General features: G+C 34.0%; 1 long non-coding RNA gene across 2 annotated transcripts in view; it reads left to right on the top strand.

Moving 5' to 3' along the window:
* LOC105379102 (uncharacterized) overlaps positions 1-13218 on the top strand; it is a 328753-nt gene that overhangs the window by 113796 nt on the left and 201739 nt on the right. For both annotated transcript variants that reach the window (XR_007058891.1, XR_948628.3), the window contains exon 3: positions 10238-10331. This is a non-coding gene — a long non-coding RNA (uncharacterized LOC105379102). The remainder of the gene's footprint in view (positions 1-10237; positions 10332-13218) is intronic.

Here is a 13218-nt window from a genome sequence, read left to right as displayed (position 1 = left end):
GTTGCAGGCTTTAGTAGCTAACCACTGGGTTTTTATTATTTCTTCACACGATAATTAAAATTATGTCTAATGAGTTGTATTTTTGTTAATGCATACTCAGATGTTTAAAGAGAATATAACTATTTTTGTTTTGTTTTCTACGACTTCTTTGTCAGAAGCCTGTTGAATGAATAACAACCACAGTCTCACGTGTATATTCAGAACAATCCAGTAAATTCATTCATATCCAGAGACCCTGTTTCTTTATGTTTACATATTTGTTTCAAATTATGTAATCTGCACAGAGTTCTTCTCACTCCATTTGCTTTTCCTAAGATACATTTTGTGTGCTGGATATAAGGTTTATATGACCTTGTAGTAGTGTCAGGAGACAGTAGGCAACATAATTCTCTCTGCATCATTCCTAGTCTCTGCTAAATTGTGGCTGGTCCTTTCTGTTCCTTTTACTCATTACCACTGAGGTGCAACGGAGCTCTTTGTTTCATTTAACACTTTGTGGACATCTGTTACATAGTGTAGTTTCAAACACTTCATCCCAATCCAGGTGTATGATGATTCACTGCAAGCCTTTTCCAGGACAAAAACATAATCGTTTTGAATCACTCTCATCTCCTAGTGCCACACAATGTCGTACATGCTATGCTAAATATGGCCACATCCCAGTGTCCTGCAGCATTCTCAAACTTCTAGATAATCATCTCACTGACCACCACTACTTCTTAGTGTTCTCAAGATCAACTTTTTCTAACTCGTCATTTCCACAGAAAAAATATAAGAACATGGATGTTTAAAGTTTACCATCACATTTAAATCCATTAATTCCCTTCCTTAGTGGGTGAACCCCCTACACTCTTTAAAAGAAGAGAGCTTTTCTATATCATCCTTCTCCTTTCTGACATGGCATTCACTCCATCTTTTTTTTCCTGAGGCCCAATTGCAGGTAGGAAAGAGCAAAACTGTCTTACAGCTAAGAGAACATAAATTAAGAAGTATTTTAAAAACACTATTTGTGGTTTGCACAAATCATTTTTCTTTATATTTGTAAATAAATGTCAATAAATAGGCATTTAAAGGAGTAGGTCATTTTGTTATTATAATATTAAAATATTTATTATCTGTTATCTATATTTAAATATCTTTTCTGAAATAACTACATGAGTTATGGGAAGCAAAATGTAATGATCATGTATGCTCCAGGTAAGAGAAAAGCAAAGTGAAGAAATAATTTAAGAAAACTACTTTGATGTTAACAACATTGAAGTGAAGTGTCCGATTTCTGTTTATACTATGCATAGAGTTATGCCAGCACTTCTGTTTCCCCTCTCAAAATGAACATAACTACCCTGTTGTATTTTAAACAATAATAATAACAATCATCATCATCATCATATCATTGTAATAATCATCACCATCATTTCACCATACTGTATACTGATAGAGGAAATCATATCTGAAATGGCTTTTCAAATACTGTCAGTGCCATTATGAAATAATAAACTCTCAAAACAGGAGAGTAGAAATATTTTGTGATTGCTGTTCTTTTTTTTTTTTTTTTTTTTTTGAGACGGAGTTTCGCTCTGTCGCCCAGGCTGGAGCGCATTGGCGCGATCTCGACTCACTGCAATTTCCGCCTCCCGGGTTCACGCCATTCTCCTGCCTCAGCCTCCCAAGTAGCTGGGACTACAGGCGCGCGCCACCATGCCCTGCTAATTTTTGTATTTTTAGTAGAGACGGGGTTTCACCGTGTCAGCCAGGATGGTCTCGATCTCCTGACCTCGTGATCCGCCCGTCTCGGCCTCCCAAAGTGCTGGGATTACAGGCGTGAGCCACCGCGCCCGGCCGTGATTGCTGTTCTTGTCTTTGACATGAAACATTTGTGTTAGTGAGCTTGCCTTAGTAGCTATAATTTGCACTTATTTACTGAGTAATTATATACAGCAATGAGGTAACAAATAGCTATCTGTGGTGATAGTAAGTCAGTCACTCTTAACTATAGAATGACAGGGAGATTTATAGAATATTTAAAACTCTAAAATGTATTTTCTTTCATTAAAATAGATTCATTTAAATCTTCCTTCTTTGCAAATAGGTTTGCTGCTGAATTCTATTCCTTATTAATAGACGGAGGGCTCAATCACATTTTGCATCAATGATTATTTAGTAACAGCTGATAGTTTATATTCATTCTGATGATATCCAATACCGGATTCCCACTATTCCCATGGGTTGATTAAAGACTGGCATAATTCGTCAGCCAAATGTCAGCCTTGTCTCTTTTGTGAGAAAACAACTCCAGGATGGTTTTTAAAACTTTAAGGAGGCTTGTACACAATAACAAGGGTAAACATGCAACAAACTTATGAGCATTCTCATGACCTCTGCCCAGACAACTCTCTGACTTCAGAATGGTTTAATTCAGTGTGTTTGTGGAGGTGGTGTCAACCAGAGCAAGACATTGGGGGTGTTGAGCATTTAAGAGGTCAAAAAAGAGGTGAGCAAAGAAATCCCCATCCCTCTGTTCATCAGATGGTCTCCCTAGAAAAGTACCACACCTTCTTAAGCCCACTTTTCCGTCTTCTCACTAGCTGCACACAACCACCTAAACATGACTGGTAAAACTAAAAAAGAACACAGTGTTCTTCTAACTATCTAACTTCAAATTTATAAACAGAGATTATTTTCACTGGGCCTTTAGTACTATCTAGCAAAACTAAATACACTCTTCCACTCTCCAAGGATTTTCCATTTTCTCTTTATACCCTGAATTCAACAGGCTCTCCCTGATCCTAATTCTAAACTTATGATCTCATTTATTTCAATGAAAAATGAAATTTTTAACTATGAAAATAGTGGACTTGATGATTTATTGTCTTTAACATATGTTAAGGTAAATGTATACATAGAACTGTTTTGAAATAGTCATATCACCTAAAATAATATTATGTTCTGTCAGTTGTAGACATGTTATTTATTTTGAAACACTGATTTAGTAATAAGGAATAAATCTATTATTCTGGAAACAAATAATTATTTTTGTCATTGTAGAACAAGTAGTAGATGATTGTAACATATCATTCAAAAGGTATAAAAGGGTAGAAAGTAAAAACTAGGTCTCTCTTTTCTGTCCCTGGATTGTCCTAAGACAACCACTGTTACTAGTTTCTCATGTATAACTTCAGTGATATTTTATATTTATATAATCCAATGTGTATGTATGCCATATACTCATTGCATTTTAATTATTCTAAGCGATATGGTTTTATTCCATATTTTAGTGGGTCTAAAACTGGAAAGTATTTCATCAACAATGACATCTTGCAAACCCTGTTGACCAGGTTTTACATGATATGATTGTTATTGCTTGCACATACATAAACTTGGATTTCATTCCTCTTGGCCAATCTAGACAAATGTTTTCATTTTTAACCAATAAACTGAAATAATATGAGTTCTGGTTGTGACCTAAAACTATTCCATGACATCTTCTCACCTATACAATAAAGTACAAAGCATCAAAATGTGCAGAATGCATGTCAGTAGCAGAGGGAAATCCTAGAGAGAGAATGGACCTACATTTAAGAAATTCAGCATATTTGTCCAATTTTTAATGGGGTTGTTTATTTTTTCTTGGAAATTTGTGTAAGTTTATTATAGATGCTAGATATTAGACCTTTGACAGATGCATAGTTCGCAAAAATTTTCTCCCATTCTCTAGGTTGTCTGTTCATTCTGTTGATACTTCCTTTGCTGTGCAGAATCACTTTAGTTTAATTAGATCCCATTTATGAATTTTTGCTTTTGTTGCAATTGCTTTTGGCAACTTCATCATGAAATCTTTGCCCATTCTTTGTCCAGCATGGTATCACCTAGGTTGTCTTGCAGGGTTTTTATAGTTTTGGGTGTTACATTTAAGTCTTTATTCTGTCTCGAGTAAATTTTTGTATATGGTGTAAGTAAGAGGTCCAGCTTCAATCTTTTGCAAATGGCTGGCCACTTATATCAATACCATTTATGGAGTAGGAAAGCCTTTCCTCATTGCTTGTTTTTTTTTTCAGGTTTATTGAAAATCAGGTAATTGTAGGTTTGCTGCCTTATTTCTGGGTTCTCTATTCTGTTCTATTGGTCTATGTTTCTGTTTTTGTACCAGTACTGTGCTGTTTTGGTTACTGTAGTCCTCCAGTATAGTTTGAAGTTGGGTTGTTTGCTCAGGTTTGTTCTTTTTGGTTAGAATTGCCTTAGCTATTCAGGCTTTTAAAATTCCTGTTTAAAAGAGGACATACATGTGTCCAACATCATATGAAAAAAAGCTCAACATCACTGATCATTAGAGAAATGCAAATGAGATACCATCTCACAACATTTAAAATGGCTATAATTAAAAAGCCAAAAAATAACAAATGCTAGCAAGGCTGTGGAGGAAAGGGAATGCTTATACACTGTTGGTGGGAGTGTAAATTAGTTCAGACATCGTGAAAGACAGTGTAGTGATTCCCCAAAGACCTAGAAACAGAAATACCATTTAACCCAACAAACCCGTTACTGGGTATATACCCAAAGGGATATAAATTGTTATATTACAAAGATGCATATGTATGTTTATTGCAACTCTATTCACAATAGCAAAGACATTGAATCAACCTAAATGCCCATCAATGATAGACTGGCTAAAGAAAATGTGATAGAGATACATCATGGAATACCATGCAGCCATAAAAAAAAAAAAAAACGAGATCATGTCCTTTGTAAGAACATGGATGGAGCTGGAGGCCATTATTCCTTAGCAAACTAGCACAGGAACAGAAAACCAAATACTGCATGTTCTCACTTATAAGTGGGAGCTAAATGATGAGAACACATGGGAACATAGAGGGGAACAGCACACACTGGGCCCTATCTAAGAGTGAAGGTTGGGAGGAAGAAAAGATCAAGAAAAACAACTAATCGATACTATTCTTAATACCTAGGTGATGAAATAATCTGTACAACAAATCCCCATGACACAATTTTACCTACATAACAAAACTGCACATGTGCCCCTAAACTTAAGATGAGTTAAATTTTAAAAAAATTGTAAAGAAAAAGAAATGCAGCACGATCTATGTCCTTGAGTATGTGAAAAGACACAGAATCAATGCTTCTGAGGCAAAAGTGACTTACAAAAATAGTTCTTTAATGTTAATTTTAACATAGTTATTTCTGTATATGCAATAGTAATATATAATCAAAATCCATGCCTAAAGTATCAAAAAGCTGTTTTAGTGTGTGTTAAATGAAATTTCCAAAAGATAAGAAAGCATTATGTCATAGTTTAATTGGCAGCAATTTTTTTCTTTTTAGTGTTATATAAAATAATGACTCTCCTTATGGTATTTTAGATCTGTTGAATGTGTGTGTGTGTGCACGTGTGTGTGTTTGGGTGTGTGTGTGCATTACACAATTGGTTGAATCTTATACCCCTATTATGCACCTTGTTTTTTTTTCTTTATTTATCTGAGTAATCCGTAACACTACATATAGGATTATATAGAAATCTATGGTAAGGATGTACTATAATATATTTAATCGATATTTTGAATATCATTTTTTATTCCTAGGCTTGTGCTATTAACCACATGGTAGTTGATATACTATATATGTGTTATTTCATAGAATAATAAAACACAAATACTATAAATTTATAGAAATTAAGTTGCTGGGTCAAAAAAGGGATATACTTTAAATTTTAATACATATACAAATTTTCTATAGGTATGGTACCTATTTAAGCACCTACAAATAGTATATATGTTTGCCTAATTTCCTCTCACTTTAAACCCTAAAAACAGAATTTTACATGTCAGTTTCTAAACAGCGAATCTGATGGGTAGATAGCGGTAAGGGTGGAGAAATATATTATATGAGCAGGAATGTTTTGATTGGAAGTTGCTGAAACTTATCTTGAATACAAATAAACAAGGAAAATAAAAGAAATAAATGAAACAAAGGGATTTACTGAAATGAATTGAAGGAGCTTCACTGAATTAAATAAATATATGCTGTAAGTAAGGTATCTCTGTGGTCCCCAGGGACTGGTATCAGTAACACTGTGAAACTAGAATTCTGATTTTGATCTAATCTCTTCTTTTCTCAGAGTTCCAGATTCACTTCCACCAGCTTCTTCCTAGAAAGGAAATTTGTCTACCATAATTTCTAGGTGCTTACTCAAGTAGCTGCAATCAGGAGTGGGCAAAGAGATTCTGGGGCTATCAACTGAAGAAGAAAAATAAGAAAGGCCAGAATGTTTGAGTGTGGCTTTAGTCCCTTGCCTACCTCTTGGCAAACTTCTGTGACAGGAGAGCAACATATATTATTTATCCAGCCCAGATCATGGGTCTCCTCAATGTAGTCAGGGTAATGGGAACCACTGCCACCTCAGGTTCATTTTCATTGGTAGTAACTTTATTTTGTCCCTTAAATTAGCTACATGGGTAGAAACACCCTATCTTATTATAAGTTTGGTACTGTTTGTGTTCAGTAGCCAGAGAAAAATCAGGGCTGTGAGCTAGTGTGGGAGAATGTGTTTGAGTGATGTGAGAGTATTCGTGTGTGTGAAGCCAAGAGAAAGGAACAAATATAATAGGGAAAAAGGAGGGAAGGGGTGAGAGAGTGAGAGTAGAATGAAATGGTAGAAGGAGGTGCTAACCAGTGACGAAGGAATAGCAAGGAGAAACTGCAGCACAGCAAAGGAATAAAGAATGATAGATCAAACTGAATAAGAGAATCGTGGCAAAAATAAGACAAAAGGTAGACAAAAAAAGTTTGAAATGAAGATAAATTCCAGGTAGGGATGCTCCAAACTGATTTTTCACTCTGCAGCTTGGTGAAAACCATGTCTTCCTGAAGGGTTATGACATTACTTTGAAAGACACAGCATTAGTTAGAAAGTCCTGCATACTTGGAAGGATGGGAATAAGGTTTTACCAACATTATTTTGCAATATTGCTACCTGGCTGGATATAATTGAGAATGCTCCTTATCTTGTAACTGTGTAGTAACGTACAGAGAAATGTGTCTGAATTCAACTCCTTCAACACAGTGTATACACCTCTTAGCTATGAAGAGCAGAGCACAAGAAAATGTAATACTCTTGGCTCTAAGAACGTACAAGAAAGAGAATTGATCTATAGATCTCATTATAGGGAGATCTGAAATTTTGCTCTATGGAATCTGTGTAGAAACTATATAATACAAAATAATTACATTCAGATAAGTGAAAGAAAAAACAAACAAACAAAAGCAACAAACAGCTAGAGGTCACATCAGGCATTATTTAGTTGATTCCATTTCTACCTGTCAATGGGTTTCTTAGGAATCTCATAAAAACCAGCTTTTATGGTAGCCTATGTGAACACTTTTTATTCCTATAAAATGTATTTTCTCATAACAGACTATGGACATTCTTGTGTCATGATGGCTTTTTGAAATAAGGTAACAAATTATTTATATAGAAATACTGTAGTTTTTATTTATGCATTAATATTTTTTACAGAAAGATTCTTTTGAATATCCAATATTTATATTTTTAACCTTTTGATTCCAACAATTTAACTCCAGAATAGACACTGGTTCTCTGAGGCTGATCAATTTACATTCTAAATCCTCAAGTCTGATAGTCTGAACCCATTACTTCTTGGTTAATGGCTGATGGGTTTGCACACATAATACTGGTGTTTTTCTTAAAAGATTGAATTATTTTAATATTCTTAGAATATTCATAGGTTTTAGTTTAGTTGGTAGTAGCCAAGAGTTATCAATAGTGATTATAAAAACTTACATGTTTACTAGCATTATAGGAGAATGAAGGAAGGATGATAGAGATGTTCTGATGCTGTATATTGACAATTTTCTTATTATGATGAGATAATTTTTACAACATACAATTGGGCAATTTCTACAAACTCATGCAGGAGAGTTAAGAGTTCGGGAAACTTGAATTCAATACACTATTTCTTATAACATCTTTCTTGTATTATATAGCAAAATGGTTTAATTATTTCCATTAGCCTCTAATAAAAGTAAAATAATTGTATTTCTTATATGATTCTTGTAAATGCATATACTAAGTATGTTTGTGACCTGTGTGTTTTTAAATAACATCTGCTAAAAAATTAAAACCAGAATATTTGTCTTACAAATGATAACATGAATAAACAGAATAAAGATGTGTCATATACTGAGGTCACAATAGAAAAAAAAAACAAAGAACAAGAAAACATTAAAAGTGAAGTCATTAATCAGAAAAGCTGAAGCCAAACCTAGTGTGGTAATTATAGTAATGAAAGTATGCAGCCCAATTTTTTTTCTATCAAAAGGTAATAGTCTCACATTTGAATGTAAAAACAATCCTACAATAAGCCATTTGCAAGATCCACATTTAAGAAAAATTATCTAATAATGAAATATGTAATGCATTGAATTCAATGTTAATTGAACCAAACTGTGAAAGCATGAATGAAAAAGCATAAGATAATCATTGTGTAGTCACAAATGGAATTCATAATGCTGAATAAGATAAAATCAGATTTCTAAACAGTAAAAACTTATATAAACCTAATCTGGTAAAACACAGATATTTGCAGTCAAAAAATGACCTTGAGCCTATTACTGACCAGTTAGACAAAAATTAAGTGAGAATATGCCTGATGTATGGAAGACACTAAGTCACAGTTTATGTAGTGGATTCATAAACTATTTACCAAAACAATAGTCATTACATATTAAATCACACAAAAAAGCTTAATAAATGTATAAAATATTATTGAAATAAAATATATACATGAGGGTTCAAATTATTGGGAAACAGTAAAAATATGGTGATAAAATATAGGAAATCATATTTTAATTATATCAAATTTTTTGTTTTTTCTATTTCTAAAGGCATGTCATTGTTAAAACTTTAAATAATAGGATAATCTGATTTCCAATACTTTCTTTTTAAATTAATGTTATTTTTAATTGATAAATCATAATTTTATTATATTTATGGAGTATAATGTGATATGTTTATAAATGTATACAAACGTAGAATGAGTAAATTAAGCTAATTAATGTATTCATCACCTCACTTAACATTTTTTATTGTGATACGTTTGAAATTTACTGTCTTAGTTACTTTAAAATATACAATACATTATTCATTGTAGTCACCTTGCTGTACAATAGACCTCAAAATCAATTTCTCCTGTCTAGCTTAACTTTGTTTCTTTGAACAGCAACACCCCATTCTCTCAACTCTCCACCCCTGGCCCCAACTTGGGTAATCATTTTACTTTCTACTTCAATGAATTCAACATTTTTCAGATTCTACATATAAATGTGATTGTGTGGTGTTTGTCTTTCTGTGCCTAGTTTATTTCACTTAGCATAATATATTCTAGATTCATCCATGTTATCCCAAATGATAGAATTTTGTTTAGGCAACAATATAGATTATTAGAAAAAATAAAAATATATTTTCTTTTTTTCTATTTTATTTTTCGAGACAAGATCTTTCTCTGTCACCTAGGCTGCAGTGCAGTGGCACCATCTGGACTCACCGCAACCTTTGCCTCCTGGGCTCAAAGCAATCCTCCCTCCTCAGCCTCCTGAGTAGCTGAGACTACAGGCGTATGCCATCATGCCTGGCTAATTTTTGTATTTTTTATAGAGATGGGGTTTCATGATGTTGCCTAGGCTGGCCTCGAGCTCCTGAGCTTAAGGGATCCACCTGCCTCAGCCTCCCAAAGTGTAAAATATATTTTCATAATCAATCAAAAGCCATAATTTCCAATTATCAAGGAAGTAATAAAATTATTTAAAAATATAAGCAGATTCAAAGTTGTGTGTGTGTCTGTGTGTGTATGTATGTATTTCCACTATGGTCTGTGGAAAAGTAATTTGTTAATTTTCAAGAAGAATGAATTCTCACCCCCATTTCAGATTGGATTTAACAACAAATATCTGCTTGTTTCTAATAAAGAGCTGTAAGGACAGGAAAAATAACTCACTGAGGGAAAGTCAACACATCTTAGCTCAAACCCCATCTCCCCAGTGTTCTATATGGCTGAAACCAGGTTAAAATAAACACTAAGCACAGTCTATAAAAGGGGAGACAAATGCGTAAAATAGTCTGGCAAAACCATGTGCCAGATGTCTTCTGTTTACTTGTCTAGATCCATTCTCTACCCAAATCTACTCATTTCTACTCTTTTTTTCTCAGAGAAGATGACCAAAAAGGACTACTTCACAGGGCTCCCATGTGCTCAGCTTGCAATTGGATTCAGCCACCAGAGATCCCTGGCAAGAGAATAAAGGTGGGTAGGAAAGCAAGGATGAGCTATTTGTGTATCTATCTTCCACCTGTATGATTCCTTTGGATTGTCTATGTCTTACTTACAAAGGTTCCTGCTGTCTTCAAAGTTGTCCCTCTCCACAGAGCTTTCTTGTCTCCAATTATGGACACCACTCTCTTACCTTATCCTTTCAAGCTTCAGCTTAGTAATAGTTATTACTTACCCTGAGTTTACACAATAACCTGTATTTTACAAACATTTTGCCCACACTTAAGTAAACAGCTTTTATTTTTTGGTTAAAGTTACCTTTATTTTTTTCAAATCTGAGCATGCCGTGAATTTTTTCCTAGAATCCTATTACTCGTGAGTACAGACAATACAGCTATTCTGTTCACCACTGCACACCGAGTACCTGGAATAAGGCCAGAGAGAGTAAACATTGGATTTGTGAATGAATACATGAAGGAAGAAATGTAAAAGTAAAAACTCCCATAAAAGGCAGAAGCACCAGCTGCTTCTTTTTTGTGGTTTGATTATTGTCATTTGGTGATTTTAAGGTTGATTGTAGCTGGTCTCTGAAGTAGGCCTCCAACATTTCACCTCGACTCCTGCAATAGCTTCAATCACAATCTTTGCCTCCACTTTTGGTTTCTCTAATCTGTTCCTAATAGAGCAATCAGGCAATTTCTTTAATATGTTAATCTGACCATGTTGTTCTTTTCCAAAGCTTAACATGCTTTGATGTCACCACAGCCTTCTAGATATACTACAATCTTCGGAATAAAAAATACAAGATGCCATCACTGATGTCCACCTCCCTCGGACTCTTCTCTTATAATTCCACTCATGAAAAAGATTAAAAAGTACTCAACCAATTTCCATCTCCATATATACAATGCTTTCTCTTACCTCTGAACTTGTCTATGTCTTGCTTTATCTATTTCATCCTCTTGACAGCAGCCAGATCAGCATTTTGTATCAGTTCCTCACAGGGTAACTCAATGAGGGCCTGCATGTGCAGTGGGGTTACATTGTAAGAAAGGAATCACAAATTGTTAAGAGACAGATTTCATAGGACTACTGGCACATCTGCTCATCCTGCCCTCTAGAGTGAGAGAGTACTCATTACTTCAGTGTGTAAGCAAATCTCCTCCAAGTGGGAAGGGGAAAGGCATCTCCACATTTATTACACTGGAAACCAAGAAAATGCTTCCAGAATTTCTCTTCAATACCTGGGGATGTTTTCTGGGAAGTATATGTCTATATATAGAGATACACTGTCTCTAGTTTCCAAGATGTTTATTATTCAACCATTTCCTTTGCTCAGAATGGCCAGACCATATAGAAATGCAATAAACTCATGGATAATTTTCCCCCAACATTTATATTAACAGTTTGAATGTGAACAAATCAGATCTACAAAGATAAATGGTATTTGTCAATATCTATTGAATGTAGTGTAAAATGGCATTTGTATTTCCCCACCTGTTTCTACAGATCTTTGCATTGTTAGGCTACAGTGTCAGTTGTGTAAAGTTGATTGCATTTATTATTTTCTACAACCTAAGTGACAATGACAGCTTCTGTGAGTGACAATTTCAAAAGCATTATTCAGCATAAAATTGATATGTCCAATTTTCCCAATTTTCTGGTCAGTTAAAATTAAGAAAGTAAAATCAATGAGAGACCAAATTTATGTACATAAAGTATATTTAATTATGATCTTATCAAAAAGGAAATATCGTTGATATTAAGGTAAACCTCTCAAAGGGCAGTTTTAATTCTGGCCGATAAAGCCTACAAACTTATTTCCAGACACATTGAAATGGACAATAAAAACTGCTTTGCCAAAAAGAAAAGGATTCTGAGCCTGATAATCTATTCAAGTAAATTTGAAATTAAATTATTTTACCTTGTTTGGAATGTGTTGATATCTGTGCTCCTTCATACTTAGTACGCCTTATTTACATGAGCGAATCAGGAAAATTAATAAACCATGAACTACGGTGAGATTTTGAAAAATAGTAACAGTAGAATGTGGTGATATATTGGAGAAAAACTTAATTGGCTTTAGTTCTTGGCTTTGAATTTTGGAATAATCTGGATCCTAGTGTCTGTGCATAGGGGAAGGGGATAAAGGCTACTTCCTGGAAGAAGCTGGTCCAGTTTTCGGTTAGGGACATACATATACATAGAAACATTTGGGAGAAAAACATATGTGCTATGCAAATAGAATGTATCATCATGATGATTTGTGAAGCAAGTTTTTTTTTTCATTTCAGACTTCTGAAATGGCTGCTTACACAAATAATGCAAATTATCTATGAAATAAAATAAAATAAAATAAAATATGCACCTATACTGTACGAACCTGAGACAAATGGTTGTTAATATGTTGATGGCTACACTCTCAGGCTTATATTACATATAATAAGCAGCAAATTCCACTAAGGTCAGCATGTTGATTCCCTTATTTACTGTTGGAGCACCAGTGCCTAAAAAACAAATGCCTGGATGTATTAGTACCCAAAGAATATTTGAATGAATTTAATGAAAATTGGCTCATGGCCTAATGTCTATGTTGTTACAACTTTTCTTTTTAATTAATATTCCATAAGTGTATTTACATGTCAGTAAGTATTAAACCGTATCATTATTTGAGAAACAACTTTCTAGTCTTCCTTCTATAATAATATTGGAATTTTTAAAGCACTGTTTATGTTTTGAACTTTTAAATTGTTCCAGATTTTTATGTTACAAACTCCGGTGCTATTAAGCTTTTATCTACTAGTTTACTTCACAAACAACTTTCTATAAATGGAATTGCTCAGTCAAAGGCCATGTTCTTTTTCAGGGCCTGTGACACATACCACTTTTAGCTCTCCAATTAAGTTGAAAGTTGAACAGT

The sequence above is a fragment of the Homo sapiens genome, chromosome 5 (assembly GCF_000001405.40).
Source record: "Homo sapiens chromosome 5, GRCh38.p14 Primary Assembly".
NCBI lineage: Eukaryota > Metazoa > Chordata > Mammalia > Primates > Hominidae > Homo > Homo sapiens.
Note: the sequence above shows the minus strand (reverse complement) of the source record. Positions and strands in the feature narration are given on the sequence as shown.